Source organism: Homo sapiens, chromosome 7, assembly GCF_000001405.40.
Source record: "Homo sapiens chromosome 7, GRCh38.p14 Primary Assembly".
Lineage (NCBI taxonomy): Eukaryota > Metazoa > Chordata > Mammalia > Primates > Hominidae > Homo > Homo sapiens.
In genome coordinates, this window is record NC_000007.14 from 67,840,181 (window position 1) to 67,862,949 (window position 22,769).

Below are 22,769 nucleotides of genomic sequence, written 5' to 3' on the forward strand. Positions count from 1 at the left end.
GGAGTGGAAATTCTTATGACAGAAAGAAACAAGTGACGATCCTTAGCACTCCCCCTCCTTCCTGGGTAGTAACTCAAAGAAATGTTGTAATCCTGGGGGAAGAGCGGAGATTAATGCCACCCTAAAAGACTTGAAAGCTCCAGGATGATGATTCTAGCACATTCCCATTGAATTCTTCTGTTTGGTCCATGCAGAAGGTAGACAGATCTTGGAGAATGACTGTGGCTTATCACAAATGTAACAAAATGGAAATTCCAATTTAAGATAGTCTTTCAGATATAGTGGCTTTTCTAGAACACATTCATAAATAACCCCTGTACCTGTTATACAGATGTGGATCTACAAAACTTTTTTTTCTATCCTTATCAGTGAAAATTAAAATAAGTTGATTGCTTTCGCATGACAAGGGCAGCAGTATAGCCTCACGGTTTTATCTCAGATGTGTATTGACTTTTCTGATCACTGATGTAACAGTCTAAAGAGATCCTGATCATCTTGAGGTACCACAGAACTTTATTTATTTATTTATTTTTATTTATTTATTTTTTGAGAAGGAGACTCACTCTTGTGGTCCAGGCTTTAGGGCAGTGATGCAATCTCAGCTCACTACAACTTCCGCCCCCTGGGTTCAAGTGATTTTCCTCCCTCAACCTCCTGATAGCTGGGATTACAAGCAGGCACCACCACACATAGCTAATTTTTGTATTTTTAGTAGAGACGAGGTTTTGCCATGTTGGCCAGGCTGGTCTCGAACTTCTGACTCCAGGTAATCCACCCACCTTGGCCTCCCAAAGTGCTGGGATTACAGGCGTGAGCCACCGTGGCTGGCCACAGAACTTTATATTAATCCTTTACATTGATGAGCTTGTGCTAATTGGATCTCATAAGGAAGACTCAAAGGCACCTTAGATGAGTCAGTGCAGTCAATTTCCAATTTTTTTTCCTGGCCAGTAGCATTAGCATCACCTGGGAACTTGTTAGAAACAGAAATTATCAGACTCTATCTCAGACCTATTGCATCAAAAACTCTTGGAGTGACCAGGCGTGGTGGCTTACACCTGTAATCCCATCACTTTGGGAGGCTGAGGTGAGAGGGCTGCTTGATGCCAGGAGTTTGAGACCAGCCTAGGCAACATAGTGAGACCTACCCCCGACCTCCATCAACTCCTACCCCTGTCTCTACAAAAACTAACTGATCATTAGAGAAACACAAATTAAAACCACAACGAGATAACCATCTCACACCAGTCAGAATGGCTACGATTATTATTATTTTGAGACACAGTCTAGCTCTGTTACCCAGGCTGGAGTGCAGTGGTGAGATCTCGGCTCACTGCAACCTCCATCTCCTGGGTTCAAGCGATTCTCCTGCCTCAGCCTCCCGAGTAGTTGGGGTTACAGGCGCCTGCCATCACGTAAGCCTGGCTAATTTTTGTATTTTGTAGAGATGGGTTTTCACCATGTTGGCCAGGCTGGTCTCGAACTCCTGACCTCAAGTAATCCACCCTCCTTGGCCTCCCAAAGTGCTGGGATTACAGGCATGAACCACCACGCCTGGCCCCAGAATGGCTGTTATTAAAAAGCCAAAAAGTAACAAATGCTGGCCAGGTTGTGGAGAAAAGGGAATGCTTATATGCTGTTAGCGAAAGTGTAAATTGGTTCAACGATTGTGGAAAGCAGTGTGGCAATTCCTCAAATAGCTGAAAACAAAACTACTATTCGACCCAGCAATCCCGTTGGTGGGTATAGAGCCAAAGGAATATAAGTCATTCTATCTTAAAGACACATGTACACGTATGTTCATTGCAGTACTATTCAGAATAACCAAGACATGGAAGCAACCTAAATGCCCATCAAAGGTAGACTGAATAAAGAAAATGTGGTACCTATACACAGTGGAATACTATGCAGTCATGAAAAAGAACAAGATTATGCCCTTTGCCTAAACATGGATGGAGCTGGAGGCCATTATCCTTAGCAAACTAATGCAGGACCAGAAAACCAAATACCACATGTTTTCACTTACAGATGGGAGCTTAAAGATGAGAACACATGGACACAAAGAGGGGTACGACAGACACTGGGGCCTATGTGAGGGTGGAAGGTAGAGGGTAAGAGGAAGGAAAGGAGCAGAAAAAATAACAAATGGGTGCTAGGCTCAGTATCTGGGTCATGAAACAATCTGTACAACAAACCCCCATGACACGAGTTTATTTGTATAACAAATCTGCCCACGTGCCCCTGAAACTAAAATAAATGTTAAAAAAAAATCCACAAATACAAGAAATTTAGGCTTTTGAGTTGACCTAGTAATCTCACAGAAGAAACTCTGTCAGTGTGCATATCTCTGGATTTATCCCATGTCTTTCCTTTGCTGATATCATATTCCTATCAGCATGATTAACCTAGAAAGAAAGGAGGGACAGAGGGGTGTCAGAGATGGGAGGGAACTTAGGTCTGGTGAGGGAATGACATGTCCCTTGTTACAAGCTAGACAGTGGCCAACCTTGGGATGAAACTGGTTCTCTATCTGTTGCCTGCATTCTCTCTCTCTGTCAACATGTGACCATCTGCTTTCAGATGGTCAGACCATGAGTGTGCGTCTGACAACAGCCTTGATCTCAGTATGGGAAACAGCACTTCTTGGAAAACAGACCATATACGTGGCAAATTTCGCCTTCTCCTCTGTCCAGAGACTCCTCACATTTCCTCTGCTCAATAATGCAGTGGCTGAGGACCATTTGTGATTCAGTTCATTCGTTGGTGGTGGCTCAAAACTGTAACTGATGTCTCCAAAGGGATCCTCCTCATCTCTGCTTTATTAAAATGAAACTTTCCCTTGGCATTTGTTGGAGGCATTTCTCCGGTTATGAATGAGAAGGACAAAGGAGAAGGAGAGAGGGCTTGGGGCTTAAATGCCAGCAATCCAATTAAAGCCATGTTTAACCTTTGTAAATAAAGCTCCTGCTTGGCCTCCTTCTCAGACAGGGGGAGGAAAATTAACCGATTTAGTAGGAAGCCCCATACTGGGAGGAGAGGACTGGTGTTTATAACATGCTTCCTGGCAGAGGGAGTGCAGCCTGGTGTTAAAAATTATTCTCTCTAGAAGGCCAACTGGCAGCAGATATAGGAAAATGTGCGGTGCAACAAGTCACCTCCTTAGGTGTCTTCCCTGGTGATGGGGACTGTTTACCCAGGCATTTGGTTCTAAAGAGCCATTGGTGGGTCCCGTCCAGCTGCTTTGGCTTCCATTAAGAACACAAGAAATAAAATGTCGCATAGAACAGCAAACAGTGGGAAAACAGGCAGAAAATAGAACTGCATATTTAACAACCCCTTGGATGCGGAAGACCTCCATGGTTTCTAAGCAGTGTAAGAAACTGCAAGAAAGATTCCGAAGAGTCTACGTCTGTATCTTTAAAAATATTCAAAGGCAAATGAACTGACACAGACTTGCCACAAGCATGACATCCAAAAGCTGCTGTGATCACTCATCATTCATTCATTCATTTAACATTTATTGGGCTGGCTGCTAGAGAGACAGAATCAAAGGCTCCGTGCCCTAGGGGCCTCCCTGCTGTGGGAGATAAAATTCACTGGTCTTCTGTTCTCCTATGATTGTGGTAGAGCAAAGGGGCTTCTCTATCTATATTTGTACACACCGATAAGAAAAGCACTAGGACATCATTAGGTTAAGTGGAGAAAAGGCAAGAGCTGACAACATACAAGAGAGGAAACACAGGTCAGGCATGGTGGCACGGTGGCTCGTGCCTGTAATCCCAGCACTTTGGGAGGCCAAGGTGGGTAGACCACTCAAGGTCAGGAATTCAAGACCAGCCTGGCCGGCATGGTGAAACCCTGTCTCTACTAAAACTACAAAAATTAGCCAGGCATGGTGGTGGGGGCCTGTAATCCCAGCTACTCAGGAGGCTGAGGCATGAGAATTGGTTGAACCTAGGAGGCAGATGTTGCAGTGAGCTGAGATCACGCCACTGCACGCCAGCCTGGGTGACAGAGTAAGACTCTGTCTCAAAAAAAAAAAAAAAAAAAAAAGAGGAAACATAGGAAATAGTATGCCAAAATTCTCAATCTTCTTAATAACTGAAGTGTAGATGTAGGTTAAAATGAGGTATTTTTTTGTTAGCAAACTTTTAAAAAATTTTTATTTTTTATTTATTTACTTTTTAGACAACACCTCACTCACTCTGTCACCCAGGCTGGAGTGCAGTGGCATGATTATGGCTCACTGCAACCTTGACCTCCCAGGCTCAGACAATCCTCCCATCTCAGCCTCCCTCCCAAGTAGCTGGGATTGCAGATGCATGCCACCACACCTGGCTAATTTTTTTTGTATGTTTTGTAGAGATGAAGTTTCGCCATGTTGCCCAGGCTGACCTCAAACTCTGACTCAAGCTATCCATCTGCCTCTGCCTCCCAAAGTGGTGTGGTTATAGGTGTGAGCCCCTGCACCTGGCGATGAACTTATTTTTTTTTATGACAATACCTAAAGCTAGCATAGTTGTAGAGAAATAAGAATGTAATGTTATGTTCTTACAAATAAATAGAAGGTCTTTGGACAGTATTTTGGCAATACCAACCAATAGTCTTTAAAATGTTCATAATTTGACAGGAATTGCACTTCTAGGAACTTACGTAAAGTAAATAATCAAAGATACAGATGAAGATTTGTATATAAGAATACTCATAGCATTTATATTTTCTTGGGAAAAAAGCAATTTTAAAGTCCAACAAGAGAAAAGTGGGTAATTAAATTAAGCCATATCTATATAATAGTATGTTTATTTTGATCAATACCTTTGCCATAATGACTTTGAAGAATATTTAATGATAATGTATGCTTATGATATAACAGTGAAAAAATGTGATATAAGCTATATCTGGGCAGGAGAATCTCAATTTAGTGAGAAAAACAAATAAAGAAACATTTAATTTACCAACTCAAAAGTATTTACTGGATGCTTTGAGGCTTGAGAAGTTCCTCTAACTATAATAATACATTGATTTAAAACATTATGATATATATCATTAGTAGCATAGTTATTTTAAAATATAATAATTTTAAAGAATGTATGGACCAATTAAGCACATATCTGAATTTTAGAAATGTTAGCAAGTTATAAAAACAGAAAAAATGTGGCCAGGTGTGGTGGCTCTTGCCTGTAATCCCAGCACTTTGGGAGGCTGAGGTGGGCAGATCACCTGAGGTCACGAGTTCGAGACCAGCCTGTCCAACATGGTGAAACCCCGTTTCTACTAAAAATACCAAAAAAATTATCTGGGCATGGTGGTGGGTGCCTGTAATCCCAGCTACTCAGGAGGCTGAGGCAGGAGAATCACTTGAACCTGGAATGTGGAGGTTGTAGTGAGCTGAGATTACACCACTGCACTCCAGCCTGGGTGACAAAAGTGAGACTCTATCTCAAAAAAAAAAAAAAAGAAGAAAAGAAAAATGTATATTTGGGGGTAGGAGAAATAGGATATTGGAAGACAGCCCTACATATGGGGTTTAGGAAAGAGAAGGAGGACATTAAGAGAATATTGGTTATTCTTTGGTGGGGTCAGGTATACTCTGATCAACAGAGATGAAATTTGTGGTTTTTTCCCCTGTTTTCTAGAGCGAGATGTCAGCAAATTGCCTTCCTTCTTCTTGCTGCAAAGAATGCTGTGAGCATCTTAGCTTCATTCTAGGATTTTCCTTTAGAAAGATTTCCTCTGACTTCTTGAGGGGGGCTTCCTCCCGAAAAGTGGGTGGTGGGAGCCACTGGGGAAAGAGAATTTAATCCAGTACTTCGGTTTTGAGGCTTGAGAAGAAAGAGTTCTAGGACCACCAGCACTGAATCCCTGGGGATAAAGACATACATTGGTCCTGGGTCTGCAGGGTCAGCCTGCACCCAGCACTGTGCAGTCGCAGGCACCCTGAGGACGGCAGCAGGAGGGAGCTGGAGAGATGGGCAGTGGAGCCTGTAACCATGGGCATCCACGTTTAGGGCCCTTTGCCGAGATCTGTCCGAGAGGATAGGATCTGTCTTCCTGGTGAAGCTGCAGCAGTTGGTCAGCAACTTCAGCGGCAAGTAGTGGAGACGAGAGTCTCCCAACCATCACACCATCTTCTTTGTGGAATCTTGCAGGGTACCACCAGCCCTGACATGTGCATGCAAAGAGAGCAGCAGATGAGACAGAGACTCCAGCATCAATTCCTCTTGAGCACAGAAGTCCAATTGTCCCATTTTGCACAGTTTGCGTCCCCGGCATCTTTGGACAATTCAAGGAGAAGAGATTCCTCCAGAGGATGAGGTGAGACATCTTACTAGTCAATGGGAAAAATTAAAGCAATGAGACCCACCTTATGCATTGGATGGTTGTGAATATGTATTCACATATATGGTTGTGAAGCCATCTGATGCATAACGTGGGTCTCATTGCTTTTATTTTTCTGATCAACTAGTGGTAGAATATAACATGTTTTACCTCCATTATCCTACCATGAGCATACAATGTTTTATTTATTATTTATTTTTTTATTTCATAGACAAGGTCTCACTTTGCCACCCAGGCTGGAGTGCAGTGGCACGATTATGGCTCACTGCAGCCTCAACCTCCTGGACTCAAGCTATCCTCCCACCTCAGCCTCTGGAGTAGCTGGGACTACAGGCACGTACTACCATGCCTAGCTAAATTTCTTTTGTATTTTTTTGTAGAAACAGGGTTTCTCCTAATTGCCCAGACTCCTCTTGAACTCCTGGGCTCAAACGATCTGCTCACCTCAGCCTCCCAAAGTGCTGGGATTACATGTTTTACAAAGGTGGAAAAGAATGAACCTTAAACAATGTTCCCTCCTCTCCAAGGTTAAGTAACAAGTGAGTGTGGCTGTGGCATGGGAAATGAGGCACAGAACTGGAATTTGAACGCACCCGGCCACACAGGTAACCTGTGTTGAGTGTGCAGGACCTTCAGAGACACGTACAAGGGCTTCATTCTAAAGTAGGCCCTCCGTCTTTAATTAGCTGAGAGTCAGTGTGACATGTTAGTCCCTCCCCACATGCTCCCTGCAGCTAGACCGCAGGCCTCCTTGGGCACATCAACAGTCTCTGGCTTGCTCGGTGGGCTTGTCAGAAGCCTGCCCTTACCGAGAGATATGGACCGAGAGTGTTTCTGACATCATCAGGCTCTCCCTGAGCTCCTGGGTGGCTTTGAGTGCAAAAATCTTAATCCCAAAGCAACAGACACCCTTCTGTACTCCAGGCACTGAATAAATCAGTGGAGATCTCAAATGCCATAATTCTAACAGAGCCATCTCTGATGCCTCTGGCAATTTGCTCTCCCGTGGGTTAGGGACCAGCTGTAATTGATGAGGAAACTGACAGCTCTTTGTCTTCCTTGACTACATTTGTCATCTGGTAGCTGGTTTATTCGTTATCTATTGCCTGGGATTCTCTCTTTCTCTCCCTCTCTTTCCCTGGGCACTTGTGGAGCAGATGTATCTCCTCATCTCCCTAAAGACAAGATCTATAAAGCCGTAACATGTTTTTAATGCAATTCAGCTTTTTGAAAAATGCATAATTGGAGAGTTCCAAAATAATTAGTTTATTATAGTGGGCCTATAAAAATGAACTTGCATCTCATTTATGAGCCATTAGATCCTATGTTCTACAAGCCTGATTGCTATTAATGCCACCAGCATATAATTTAGCATACTTTATTAACATGCATCACCTCTGAGCTTCTCTTCCTTCCAGCCCCACATCAGACAGGATAGGGTTGAGTTGTGGGGCTGAGAATTCTTCCCATGAACAGGACTCCAGCTTTGGAGACAGTGTCTCCTTCTTCAGCCCAAACCCTCATGAGTCACACTGTGGACCCCTCTTGCATGAGAACATTTGACATTCATTTCATTTCTTTCTGCAGAAGTTAAGCAAAAGAAAAAAACTAAGCCATTAGCATAAGGAAGAAGAAAAAAAAAGGAAAAAAACCCAGAACATTAAAGAAGAGGCAGAATGCATCAGTGCCTGGTTCTCATTCCAGGAGGTAAGAATAGTGAATGCTTTTGCAGGCACAAATGTGGATTGTTTTTTTCAGATAGTATAATGAAAATCAAAATATTTATTGTGTATCTTCTACATGTTGTTTGCATGTACCTATGTAGGGCACAGAGAGGATGAAAGGAGGAACTTGCATCTTTCTCTCTCTGTTTCCCTGGGCACTTGTAGAGCAGATGTATCTCCTCCTCTCCCTCCAGACGATATCTCTAAGGCCATGTTTTTAATGCAATTCAAAAATATTTATTGTGTATGTTCTCTACTACTTCTTCTTGTGCCTGTGTAGGGCACAGAGGAGATGAAAAAACTACGAGCTCATCTATTTCTCTTACTTGAAGAACTGATGTTCTGATGGGGAAAAAGAGCAAACATTGGTTGGGCATGGTGGCTCCCATCCGTAATCCCAGCACTTTTGGAGACCGAGGCAGGAGGATCGTGTGAGACCAGGAGTCAGAGAGCAGCCTGGGCAACATAGCAAGATCCTGTCTCTACAAAAAATAGAATAAATTATCTGAGTGTGGTGGTATGTACCTGTAGTCCCAGATACTCAGGAGGCTGAGCAGGGGTTTGAGACTGCAGTGAGCTACGATTGCACCACTGCACTCCAGCCTGGGTGACAGAATGAGACCCTGTTCTTAAAAAATAATCATGGTCAGGCACGGTGGCTCACACCTGTAATCCCAGCTACTCGGGAGGCTGAGGCAGGAGAATCGCTTGAACCCGGGAGGCAAAGGTTGCAGTGAGCCGAGATCGCACCACTGCACTCCAGCCTGGGTGAGAGAGTGAGACTCTATCTCATTAAAAACAAAACAAAACAAAACAAAACAAAACAAAACAAAAAACAAAAAAAACCTAAGAAGGAAATTGAATTTGGAATCTGCAGGCCTGGAACACTGGGGGGACAGGATCAGGAGAAGGCAACAATTCTGAGTCGGGGGTGCAGACGAGAACATCTCTTCAGCCTCCCCTTTGCCCCACAGATGGGTGCCCTGGGTGAGGAGTGAAGGGAACGTCTGTCCCCAGGTAGATGCTAGAAGGGGCTAGAGCAGGACCTGCATGCCAGAGCCCAGCATGTGGTCTGCATGCCCCCAGCTGTGTCTTCGAGATGCTGCTCATGAAGCCATTTCCTTTTCTTCTTGCAGGGATAGCAGGAAGGTGGCAGGGGGTCTCAGGCAGAAGCCCTGGAGCCTGGCACACAGAATGAGATGGTAACTCTGTCTTCTTTCCTTGTAGGTTTATCACTGAAGAACAAGAGGGTCTCATCCCCTTTTTCCTCTTTTTATTTTTATTTTTGAGAGAGTGTCTCGCTCTGTCACCCGGGCTGGTGTGCAGTGGTGCCATCTTGGCTCACTGCAACCTCCACCTTGCTCAAGCAATTCTCCTGCTTCGGCCTCCTGAGTAGCTGGGATTACAGGCATGCAACACCATACCTGGCTAATTTTTGTATATATATATATATATATGTGTGTGTGTGTGTGTGTATATATATATATATGTATATATATATGTGTGTATATATATGTATATATATGTGTATATATATGTATATATATGTGTATATATATGTATATGTATATATATGTGTATATATATGTATATGTATATATATACGTATGTATATGTATATATATATACGTGTATATATACGTATATATATACGTGTATATATATACATATATATACGTATATATATATATACATATATATATGTGTATATATATATATGTTTTTTTTTTTTTTTTTAGTACAGATGGGGTTTCACCATGTCGGCCAGGCTGGTCTTGAACTCCTGACCTCAGGTGATGCAACCGCCTTGGCCTCCCAAAGTGTTGGGATTATAGGCATGTGAGCCACAGTGCCCAGCCCCCTTTTTCCTTTCAAGAGGGCACACTGGGCTTTGTAATTTGTTGGCCAGGGCTTACTCTCAGAGGCAAAACAAAATGCTTCCATTTTTTTTTCTCTTTTTATTTATAAACTTTGTAGAGACAAGATCTCTTTTTTTTTTTAAATTTTATTATTATTATACTTTAAGTTTTAGGGTACATGTGCACAACGTGCAGGTTTGTTACATATGTATATATGTGCCATGTTGGTGTGCTGCACCCATTAACTCGTCATTTAGCATTAAGTGTATCTCCTAATGCTATCCCTCCCCTTCCCCCCACCCCACAAGAGTCCCTGGTGTGTGATGTTCCCCTTCCTGTGTCCATGTGTTCTCATTGTTCAATTCCCACCTATGAGTGAGAACATGCAGTGTTTGGTTTTTTGTCCTTGCAATAGTTTGCTGAGAATGATGGTTTCCAGCTTCATCCATGTCCCTACAAAGGACATGAACTCATCATTTTTTACGGCTGCATAGTATTCCATGGTGTATATGTGCCACATTTTCTTAATCCAGTCTATCATTGTTGGACATTTGGGTTGGTTCCAAGTCTTTGCTATCTCAAGATGTTGCCCAGGCTTGTCTCAAACTCCTGGCCTCAAGTGATCCTCCCACCTCGGCCTCCCAAAGGGCAGAGATTACAGGTGTGAGCCACTGCGCCTGGCTGGCTTCCACTTTTTGAGAAACAAGGATTATAGAAGAAAACAGTTGGATTGCCAAAGAGAAAGTCAAAACAGTGAGGCCCCTGAACTTGGCAGCAGGGTGATTTCTGAGAACAGCAGAGGATATGGAGGTTGTGGCTTCACACTTTCAGTAACCCTGGGGTTTGCTCCCCTGTGACACCCCAAGATGGGCAAAAGTGGCACAAGGGCTCTTGGGGACTGAATTCTAAAATCCTTTATGGGAGCTTCCAAGAAGGACCTATGAAGGTCAACATGGTAGGTCCTTCCCAGAGCATATGGATGGCTTGAACCTCCTCCTGTCCCATGATTCTTGTTTGGAAGGTGTATTAGTCTGTCCTCACGCTGCCAATAAAGGTATACCCGAGGCTGGGTAATTTACAAAGGAAAGAGGTTTAATGGATCCACAGTTCCACATGGCTGGGGAGGCCTCATTGGCATGGTGGAAGGTGAGGGAGGAGCAAAGTCATGTCTTACATGGCGGCAGGCAAGAGAGCATGTTCAAGGGAACTCCTCCTTATAAAACCGTCAGATCTCATGAGACTTACCTAGTATCACGAGAACAGCATGGGAGACCTGCCCCCAAGATTCAATTACCTCCCACCAGGTCCCTCCCATTATGGGAGCTGCAATTCATGATGAGATTTAGGTGGGGACACAGCCAAACCATATCAGAAGGAAAGAGGCCTGTTCAGAGCTCATATCTGTATCTAAGCAATCTTGTCAAGGGTTCTTCAAGCTTAATTTCATTAGGAAATAAAAATACTAGAACAGCGTTTGCTCTTGAGCATTGTGGAGTAGATTCTCTGATGCAGACAGAGAGATCCTTGGAGGGAAGAATGATGCATGAAAATCCAGGGGGATGAGGCATTTGACAAGACTCAGCAGGGAAAAACTCTACAGCCCTGGACACTATAGGGGAATATCTATTACATTGAATTTCACAGAATTAAACATGTTTAAATTGGCTGGATGTGGTGGCTCATGCCTGTAATCCAATCACTTCTGGAGGCTGAGGTGGGCAGATCACCTGAGGTCAGGAGTTCAAGACCAGCCTGGCCAACATGATGAAACCCCGTCTCTACTAAAAATAAAAAAATTAGCCAGGCATGGTGGTGAGTGCCTGTAGTCCCGGCTACTTGGGAGGCTGAGGCAGAAGGATAGTTTAAACCCAGGAGGTGGAGGTTGCAGTGAGCCGAGATTGCACCACTGCACTCCAGCCTGGGTGATACAGTGAGACTCTGTCTCAAAAAAAAAAAGTTTAAATTTCTCCAAGTGATTTTTGTATAGCTGCCTTGTTTCTAATTAATAACAGCTGTTTCATGAAAATGAAAAAAAGCAGTTTGTTAAGGAGCATGATATTTTGAAAGAATGCCTAAAAGGAGAATAAGAATTAGAATAAGGAAGATGAGGAGGGAAGAGAAAGGAGAAAGAGGAGGGGAAGAGAAGGGGGAGGAGGAGAAGGAGAATGAAGTGAGGAGGAGCAGAAGGATGGGAAGAAAGAAGGGCCAGGCGCCGTGGCTCATGCCTGTAATCCCAGCACTTTGGGAGGCAGCGGCAGGGGGATCACGATGTCAGAGTTCAAGACTAGCCTGGCCAAGATGGTGAAACCCCCGTCTCTACTAAAAATACAAAACTTAGCCAGGCATGTTGGCAGGTGCCTGTAATCCCACCTACTGGGGAGGCTGAGGCAGAGAATTGCTTGAACCTGGGAAGCAGAAGTTGCAGTGAGCTGAGATTGCGCCACTGCACTCCAGCCTGAGGGACAGAGTGAGACTCCATCTCAAAAAAAAAAAAGAAAGAAAGAAAGAAAAGAAAGAGGGATAAGTTGAGGAGGATGGGGAGGAGAAAGAGAAGGAGGGAGAAAAGGAGGAGGGGGAGGAGGAGAAGAAAAAAGGGGGCAAGAAAAGAAGGAAGAAGAGCGTGAAGGAGAGGAGAGAAAGGAGGAGGAGAGAAGAAGGAGAAGAAGGAGGACTGGGAGGAGGAGAAGAAAATAGGCGGCAGGAAAAGAAGGAAGAAGAGGGGGAGGGAGAGGAGAGAAAGGAGGAGGAGGAGGGGAAGGGGGACTGGGAGGAGGAGAAAAAGAAGAGAAAGGGGAAAGAGAAGAACAAGGAGATAGAGGGGGGAAGTCAGGAGAAGGAAGAGGAAGAGAAGGAGGAGGAGGGGATGCTGGAGGGAGAAGGGGATGAGGGAGGAGAAGCAGGAGGATGAGGAGGAGAAGGAGAAGAGGTAGAAAAAGGAGGAGAAGAAGAAGAAAGAAGAAGAAGAGGAGGAGGAGGAGGAAGAAGAAGTAGCAAGAAGAAGAAGAGAGGGCAACAGAATATGCCTGGTTGCAGCCCTGGTTATTGCTGTAATTTTGGGTACACTATTTCTGGCCCCCTACTTTCTACATCTGTGATCCAAAATAATGGGATTGTATTAAATATTTACTTCCAATAAAATCTTACACAGAAGCCCAGCACATGCTGCTTAGATGGAGGAGGTATGGATTATGGTGTTTGGAGTGTGTGTGTGCATATGTGTATGCCTGCGTGCCTGTGTGTGCACGCGTGTGTGAGAATGCAAAAATGTTAACTCTATTCTGGGGCAAGTTGGAGCAGCTCTGTGTGCCCATGGTAACTCTCTATTCTGGTACTCTTTGGTAAGCACATGGAAGCTGTCTGGAAGGCATTTGGGAGAGGAAAACAGAGAGAGGAACTTGCTGTTTAGCCCTGGCTAAGCGGGGAGGTGGCAGGAGGGTTAGGACACACTCAATGGGCCCAGCATCAAAATGCGGGAGGAACAGAAACAAAATTCAGACTCCACGCTGACATCAGCTGGGAAGTTCCATCAGACAAAATCCAAAGTCTGACATATTTGGCCGGGTGCGGTGGCTCACACCTGTAATCCCAGCACTTTGGGGGACCAAGGCGGGCAGATAACCTGAGGTCAGGAGTTCGAGAACAGCCTGGCCAACATGGTGAAACCGTGTCTCTACCAAAAATACAAAAACTAGCCGGGCTTGGTGGCGGGCACCTGTAATCCCAGCTACTCAGGAGGCTGAGGCAGGAGAATCACTTGAACTCAGGAGGCGGAGGTTGCAGTGAGCCAAGATCGCACCACTGTACTCCAGCCTGGGCGACAGAGCGAGACTCAGTCTCAAAAGCAAAAAAAAAAAAAAAAATACTTCAGTCTCCTCATATATAAAATGAAGATAATAATCTCCATCAGTGGCTGTCACAGCATGGTTCCCAGACAGCAGCATCCACATCCCCTGACGACTCAGTACAAATGCATATTTTGGGATCCACGCTCGACCTACAGAATCAGGAAATCTGAAGGTGGTGCCCAGGACGCTATGTTAACAGGTCTTCCCGAGCTTCCAATGCCTGCTTGGTTTCGAGAGCCTTGGTCTTTGTCTCCTGGTTATTAGGATGCTGAAACAGGGACTGTGTCGGAAACACTCTCCTTGCATGCTGTAAGCCATCTTGAAACGATTTGCTTTTAGCACGAGTTCAAATATCCTGGCTTAGATGGAATTGCATGGCCAAATCCGGATGAGGCTGCAAATGAGATCACCAAAGTCCTACAGCTGGCACAGCGCTTTCACAAAAGGGAAAGTCGGTCGGATATTTTCTAGTCTAACCAGATGGTGAGGCGGCAGGAGGAGGCTCTCAGGAGCGGTTGGGGTAACCAGAATAGATCTCTTCCTCTCCGATCGTCTTCCCCCGAGCACCTTCCTCCTTTCACTTAGTCAGTGTAATAAATATAATTGGAAGCACACACAGCTCCTACTTGCAGGCAAGCATAAATTATTCCTCTAGCACTAGGAACACTCATTTGTAACATAGATTAAATTTGGCTCTGGACTGGGGAGGGATTACACCTTTAAAATTTGTTTCATCATTTAAGGAAATCACTCACTCTCCACATCAGGATGGATTAGAATGTGTCAGTATTAATACCGGACATTTCCCTGTTGTCACTTGTTGTTAGAGGAACAATTATTTCACGTCTGAGTAAAAATCTTACTCGGAGGGTAAAGTTAATGTAGCATGCAGAGCTGTGTGGAAACAAGGCTTGGACGTCTTATGAACACAGGCAATTGCCCATTACGGTGTTGGTTAACATATTTCTTCCACTTCATCTGTTTTACTGTATATAAGAGCATTATTGTTTTGCTTAGAAGAGGCTTTGGCCGCTCTGAACTCGGATCAACGTGACGCAGACTCACAGTTCAAAGGTTAAAAGAGAATTGATCTGTGAGCTTTCGCCAATCTCTTGCTCTGCTCCCTGCTCTCTAAAGGATAAATCTCTTTTTCAGATAAATCCAGATTGCTTTTTCAATAGATTGGCTTTTGGCCTCTTCTGCAGAACAGTACTTTGACTTAACCTGGACAGCCTCCCTGTAGCTATGAAGAAATCATTTCTAACATCTGAGGTTAATTCGGTAAATGAAGCATTGGATTTTCTTTCATGGAAGCAAGAAAAATTGTTTGGATGAGGTTAGCAAAGGCAAGGCAAGCTCAGGGGACATTCCCTGGGGCTCTACCCCTGGACGAGGTTCTATTGAACCTTTATTGTAAGGCTAAATGAGTAAAAATGGGGCCTGGGGGGAGGGTGGGGGAACCAAGTAGTCATTTCTGCATTGCCTTTTGCGTTTTGAGTGATTTCTGCATTGCATTTTGCATTTTGAGTGATTGCGATTGAGAAATGTGGAATGGGTAGAATTAGTTCCAATTGACAGATGGGTAGACTGAGGCCCAGATAGCTGCACATGGCTTACCACTCATCACACATCGAGTTATGCTTTACAAGGAGGGAACATGGTTTCTTTCCTTGTGCTGTGCCCCCTTCTCATTTGGTAGATCTGTTTTGATTTTTTTCTTTTTCTTTTTTTTTTTTGAGACAGCGTCTTGCTCTGTCACCAAGCCTGGAGTGCAGTGGTGCAATCATAGCTCACTGCAGCCTCCAACTCCTGGGCTCAAGCAATCCTTCTGCCTTGGCCTCCCAAAATCCAGGGATTATAAGCAGGAGCCACCATGCCCAGCCTTCATTCAGTAGGTTTGAATCCAAGTGCTTGCAGAAGGGAAAGAAAAAGGAAAGACATTTGTGATGAGAAATATCACACTAAACTGTACAGAAGTCTCTCAGCCTCTCGAATGAAGTATTCTGCCTGCCTCCTGGTCTCAGGATCCCCTATCTTAACCATGTCCCTTGGCAATACTTTACCTGGGAACAATTCTCTTGAAAGGTCCTCCCAGAAAGCAAGGACTAACTGATTTGATGGAATTTGTTATCCTACATTATGACTTGGTGGGAGATCAGGCCCCCGAGGATTGGGAAAGAGAAAAGCTCTTCCAAGTCTTTCCTGATGAGACTCTTTCAACTCTTACGTACAACTTCCTTGCATACAAATAAAACACCTCTGCAGGTCAGGGACCTTCAGACCCCTGCTGGACCAGGATGTCCACTGCAGCCCTTTAGCCCTGGGACCCTTCCCTATGCCTAACCTTTGACCTTCTCTGGGGAGACATAACAGTGTGTGTGGGGGTGGGCATTGGCATGCAAGGAAGTTGCACAAAAGAGTTGAAAGAGTCTTATCAGGAAATTTCTGGGAATGAGGCTTTCCAAGAGAAGGAGACCTGTGTGATCTGAAAAGGGACCACAGGAAGGGGATAGGTGATGGACTTCAAGAACACAGAAGCTGACCAGGCATGGTGGCTCACGCCTGTAATTCTAGCGCTTTGGGAGGCTGAGGCAGGAAGATCCTTTGAGTCCAAGAGTTCGACACCAGCCTTGGTAACATAGTGAGACCCCCACCTCTAAGAAAAATCAATAAATAAACAAAACCACCTGGGTGTGGTGGTGCACTCGTGTGGTCCCAGCTACTTGGGAGGCTGAGGTGGGAGGATCACTTGAGCCTAGGGAGGTGGAGGCTGTCATTGTGTCACTGCATTCCCAGCCTGGATGACAGAGCAAGACCCTGTCAAAAAAAAAAAAAAAAAAAGAAGAAGAAATATTTGGGCTTCTGATAACAATTCAATGCAAGTTCAAGCAATTAGAGGATGAATATCTACTAGGCTTCTTTGTGCCAGAAATATTTTGAGAGCCCATGTTTATTTCCTATAATCTTTAGTGAAATGATATGTGCTATGTGTAATTGTGCCTCCCTCAAAAATTCATTTGTTAAAGTCCTAACCTCCAATATTTCAGAATATGACTTTATTTGGAGATAAGATCTTTCCTGAGGTTATCAAGTTAAACTGACATCAGTCGGGTGAGCCCTAATCCAGTAAGACTGGTGTCCCTGTGCAAAAATGAAATTTGGACAGATGCATATAGAGTGAAGATATTGAGAAGAGGCGCAGGGAGAAGATAGCTGTCTACAAGCCAAAGAGAGAGGTCTCAGAAGGACCCAACCCTGCTGAAACCTTGATCTCGGACTTCCGGTCTTCAGAACTGTGAGATCATACATTTCTGTTGTTCAAGCCATCCAGTCTGGGTTCCTCTGTTATGGCAGTCTGAGAAAATGAATACAGTAAGTCAAAATAAAAATGACTGCTGTGGCCGGGTGTGGTGGTTCACGCCTGTAATCCCTGCACTTTGGGAGGCCGAGGCAGGTGGATCACGAGGTCAGGAGATCAAGACCATCCTGGCTAACATGGTGAAACCCCATGTCTACTAAAAATACAAAAAAATTAGCCTGGCATGTTGGGGGTGCCTGTGGTCCCAGCTACTCAGGAGGCTGAGGCAGGAGAATCACTTGAACCCGGGAGGCGGAGGTTGCAGTGAGCCAAGATCACGCCATTGCACTCCAGCTGGGGCAACAAGAGCAAAACTCCATCTCAAAAAAAAAAAAAGAAAAAAAAGAAAAGAAAAAAACATTGCTGCAGCATGAATGGATCTCAAAAACATTACATGAAGTGCAAGAAGCCAACACGAAAGGGCACATTCTATGTGAGACCATTTATATGAAGTATCCAGAATTCATAGATCCACAGGGATCTATGGAGAAAGCAGACTGATGGTGGCCAGGGACTGGAAGAAGGAGGGAATGAGATGTGACAACTTAATGGGTACAGTGTCTCGTTTGAAAGTGATGCAAATGTCCCGTAACCAGCTGGCAAGGACGGTTGCGCAATTCTGTGAATGTACTAAACTTCCCTGCGTTGTACACTTGAAAATGAGTCATTTTCTGTTATATAGATTTCACCTCAATTAAAACAAAAGAAGAAGACGGATGGTGTGCACCACTTGCAGATAAGAGCTGCTGGCGAAAAGAGGTGACCTGAAGAGTCCGCGTTCCATTTTGTAGCTTACCTTTATTGAGTAGATAGAGGCTGCCTTTGAAAAGAAGCAGAAGTACATAAAACCCCCGGAACCAGTGGGAAAGAAGAAAACACACTGGAAACTTGTCTTTTTTTTTAATTTAATTTTTTTTAGATGGAGTCTTGCTCTGTCGCCCAGGCTGGAGTGCAATGGCATGATCTCAGCTCACTGCAACCTCCGCCTCCCTGGTTCAAGCGATTCTCCTGCCTCAGCCTCTCAAGTAGCTAGGATTACAGGCGCCCACCACCACACACTTGGCTAATTTTTCTTTTGTATATTTAGTAGAGGTGGGGTTTCACCATGTTGGCCAGGCTGGTCTTGAACTCCTGACCTCAGGTGATCTGCCCGCCTTGGCCTCCCAAAGTGCTGTGATTACAGGCATGAGCCACCATGCTTGGCTGAAACTAGTCTTTTTGAAGTGGCCATAGGTGTTGGACATGGCATTGCTGAATTACGTGGGCAGGAAATCACTTGTCCACTTCTGTTGTCCCTGACTTAAGATAGTTTGATTTACGATAATTTGACTTACAATGGTTTGACTTACGATGGTTTGACTTATAATTTTTTGACTTTAGGATGGTGCAAATGTGATATTTACTTAGTAAAAGCCATACTTTGAATTTTTAATTTTGATTCAAAATGATTTATAATCACTTTATTATAAAACAGGCTTGGTGTTAGATGATTTTGCTGTAGGCTAATATAAGCATTCTGAGCTAGACAGAATGCTAGGCTAAGGCAGGCAAGGCTAAGTTATGTTTGGTAGGTCCAGCGTACTGAATGCACTTTCAAAGTAAGATATTTTTGTTTTATGATAGATTTATCCAAATGTGACTCCTTTGTAAGTCAAAGAGCGTCTGTAATTGTGCTGGGCCTCACGTAAGAAAACACCTGCCCCAGCGCCCTCTTCAGAATCTGGATGAATCTCTGCAGCAGATGTATTTCTTGGGCTGCTTTGGCATTTTTTGAATCCCCTTTCTACATTGGAAAATTTCCAAGCTTTTGAGTCTTGCGTCTTCAAGACGGAAGCCAGGAACTCGTTTCCAGGCATCCTTGTAACTAGGGCACAGTGACACAGATCCAATGTGAATAGCTGAGAACAATTTAGCAGGCAGTGACATGAGGAAGGGGGTTCTTTGCAGAATTGATTCCTGATGAGGGTGACAAAGGGTGTCCAGCGTTCAGGGGCAGCTGAACAGGGCTCAGGATGGAGGTCCCACACTGAACCATGGGGGAGGGCTTTTTATGCTGTGAAAGGGGCTCTAGAATTCAATATGGCGTGGGCATTTGGCCTTGGAGCCTCCAGCCTTGCTTCTGTGAGCCCTCGTGGTGATTCTTGGCTGCCTTTTTTTTTTTTTTTCTTTTTTTGAGACGGAGTCTCACTCTGTTGCCCAGGCTGGAGTGCCACGGCGCAATCTCGGCTCACTGCAACCTCCACTTCCCGGGTTCAAGTGATTCTCCTGTCTCAGCCTCCTGAGTAGCTGGGATCACAGATGCACACCACCACACCTGGCTAATTTTTGTATTTTTAGTAGAGACGGGATTTTACCATGTTGGCCAGACTGGTCTCGAACTCCTGACCTCAGGTGATCTACCCGCCTTAGCCTCAGGCTGCCTTTTTTACTGAACTAAGTGTGGTTTTGCCAATAAGGACCTCTACTGAGACAGCCCACCAGGCAATGCTGGACAACCTGCTTGCTTTGAAGGCAGGGTTGTACCAAGAGGGACAGCATCTGGAGGCTCCAGGCTGGCCTTGGAGTGGTCTATGGTTGGACCATTTGCAGGAGAGGAAGAGTCATGTCAGTTGATGAGAACACTCTGCACTCTACATGAGCAGTCTACCCTTCACCCTTTTCCTACCTTTTTTTTTTTTTTTTTTTTGAGACAGATATCATCTGTCACTTAGGCTGGAGTCCAGTGGTATGATCTTGGCTCACTGTATCCTCGATCTATCTGGCTCAAGCAATCCTCCTGCCTCAGCCCGTGAGGAGCTGGAACCACAAGTGTGTACCACCATGACCAACTAATTTTTACTTTTTGTAGAGGTGGGGTCTCCCTGTGTTTCCCAGGCTGGTTTCGAACTCCTGAGCTCAAGCAATCTGCCTACCTCGGCTTCCCAAATTGCTGAGATTACAGATGTGGGGTACCTTGACTGGCTCTCCTACCCTTTCTTCCTGACCTTCCTTTTGCTTTGGACTACATCTAAACCAGACTCCACCTGGACATGGCTTTCAAGGCTGGAAAGAATTGATCACCTAGGGCAGGAATGGTAAACACTTTCCATTTGTTCCATGAAATGTCACATTAATCGGGCAGAGAATATCATCCTGCCAAGCCTGAATATGGTCTTGGGGTCTGCTCAACACTACACTCCTAGCATCAACCTCTAGTAGTTTAATGTCAGCACAGACAATCAAATCTCCTCACTATCTCTGCCCCATAGCCTTACCTTAAACACTTAACGGGCTGGGCATGGTGGCTCACATCTGTAATCTCAGCACTTTGGGAGGCTGAGGTGGGAAGATCGCTTGAGCCCAGGAGCTCGAGGCTTCAGTGAGCCATGATAACGTTACTATACTCCAGCCTGGGTGACCAAGCAAGACCCTGTCTCTAAAAAAATAAAAATAAAAATAAACTAGAAAAACAAAACAAAACACCTAACATATTATGATGGGGAGAGAGAGGCCTTTACAGTATTGCAGGGAAAAGACAAATGGATCGGAACATGCATCTGCCCTTTGGGGCACTATCCAGAACTTCTTGCTATTCTTATTTCAGCAGTAACCACATGGATTTTTATAGAAACTACATTTGTAAAATTCACATAATTAGGGAATGTCAAAGGAAGCACGTGTTTCATGGGATCTGCAGTCCTTATTAAGAGAGAGGAGAACTGAGAGGGAGCCAGTTGAGGTGAGGGTTTGCTTGGAATCAGGAGCTCTCTGCAGAAGCCAGACCTGAGTAGATCTGAGGGGCCAACACTGAGGTGCACAGTTGAGAGGACCCCATTAAGACTACTCTAGAGACTTGGGCTCTTGAGATGCCATGGGTCTGGTTGGACACTCTGCCCTCTCCTGGTAAAGGCTCCTCTGCTCTAACCTTTGAGAAAGACATAGAAGCATTGGCCTTGTTTTCTCTCACATGGAGAGAAGTTAGGGGCCATCAGCTGGTGTTTCTCAATCTGGGCACAATTATCACTGGGGGCAAGAACATCCCCCATTACCTGTGGCTGGAAAATTGGCATCCTTGACCCTTTCAATGTCCTTAGAGCTCCTTTTCCTTTCCCTAAAGTTATAGGAGCAACTCAATGCCTCCTCATGCATTTCCAAATGTCCCTGTTTGAGGCTAACTCATTGAGTGGGTGAAGGAAAGAGATGTGTTTGAATTCACCCACAGAGAGGCAGGAGTGGAATGAGATCTTGAAGTCCTTAATCCAAAACTCTTTCCATTGAGATGTTCATGCAGGAAAAAAAAAATAAAGTTATTTCCATAGAAAACTGTATGTGTGTGTGCACCTGTGTGTGTTAAGGAGACATGTGTGTAAATGTGACCCAACACACAGTGTCAGACTGAGAAACTCCAGCACTTTGCAAGAAGCTAGACTTTGTACATTTGAAACAGGATGGAAGTCATGCCCTGCACCATAAAGTTAGCATCTCACAGACACCTAAGCTCACCCACTCCCCAAGGTGCTTTTCTCTTCCCTATGTTAAGTTAGTTTACATTACAGCGAGGTGTTACCAAAATGTCAGGGGTTCAGTCTAGGTCCTGCTATTCACCACACAGAAAGCCAATCACTGAGACAATGAGTAGTGCCAAGGAAGAAGGCTTTAATCCGGTGCTGCAGTTAAGGAGATGGGAGATCAGCCTCAAATCCATCTCCCTGACCAACTAAAATTAGGAGTTTATACAGCAGAGAAGAAATGTAATCATGTGTGGGAAACAGGAATTGGGGAGGGGTAAGGAAGAGAAGTTGGTCAATGGGAAGCAGGTAGTTGCTTAGGCAATTATGATGGATGAGGGGTCTGGTATCTCATTATCCAGATGTGATGGTCTTGTGAGTTTCAGCTCCTTGATTCTATCTGGGAGGCCTGATGGTGGTTTCCTGAGAAAGGAACTCAGATAAGACAAAAGTAACTTTCTTGAGTTTTAAGACTGGGAGGGTCAATTTATATGTTTATTCAAAAGAAACCATAAACATCATTTCTAGGGGACAATTGGGATGGTTTCATGGGAACATTTTTGTTGGAGAATGTCTTTATTCTCATCTTTGTATCCATGGTAGTTACAGCTGTTTACACTCAGGACACACACACACACTCAAGATACTGTCTCTCTGGCTTGTAAGGGACATCAAGTGATATGGTTTGGCTGTGCCCCAACCCAAATCTCATCTTGAATTGTGGCTCCCATAATTTCCACATGTCGTAGGAGGGACCCAGTGGAGATAATTGAATCATGGGGGCAGGATTTTCCATACTGTTCTCATGATAATGAATAACTCTCATGAGATCTGATGGTTTTACCAATGGGAGTTCCCCTGGACAAGCTCTCTTGCCTTCTGCCATGTAGGATGTGCCTTTGCTTCTCCTTTGCCTTCTGCCATAATTGTGAGGCTTCCCCAGTCATGTAGAACTGTGAGTCTATTAAACCTTTTTCCTTTATAAATTACCCAGTCTTTATAAGCAGCATGAGAACAGACTAATACACCAGCGTAGCAAGTACTTGGCCCTGTCTAAGGGTTGGAGGATGACAACAGTGCAAGGGAAGCAGAGGTGGGGCCTTACAGTGGAGCTCTGTGGGATTGTTGAGAATTTCCTGTTGGGCAATAACTACCCT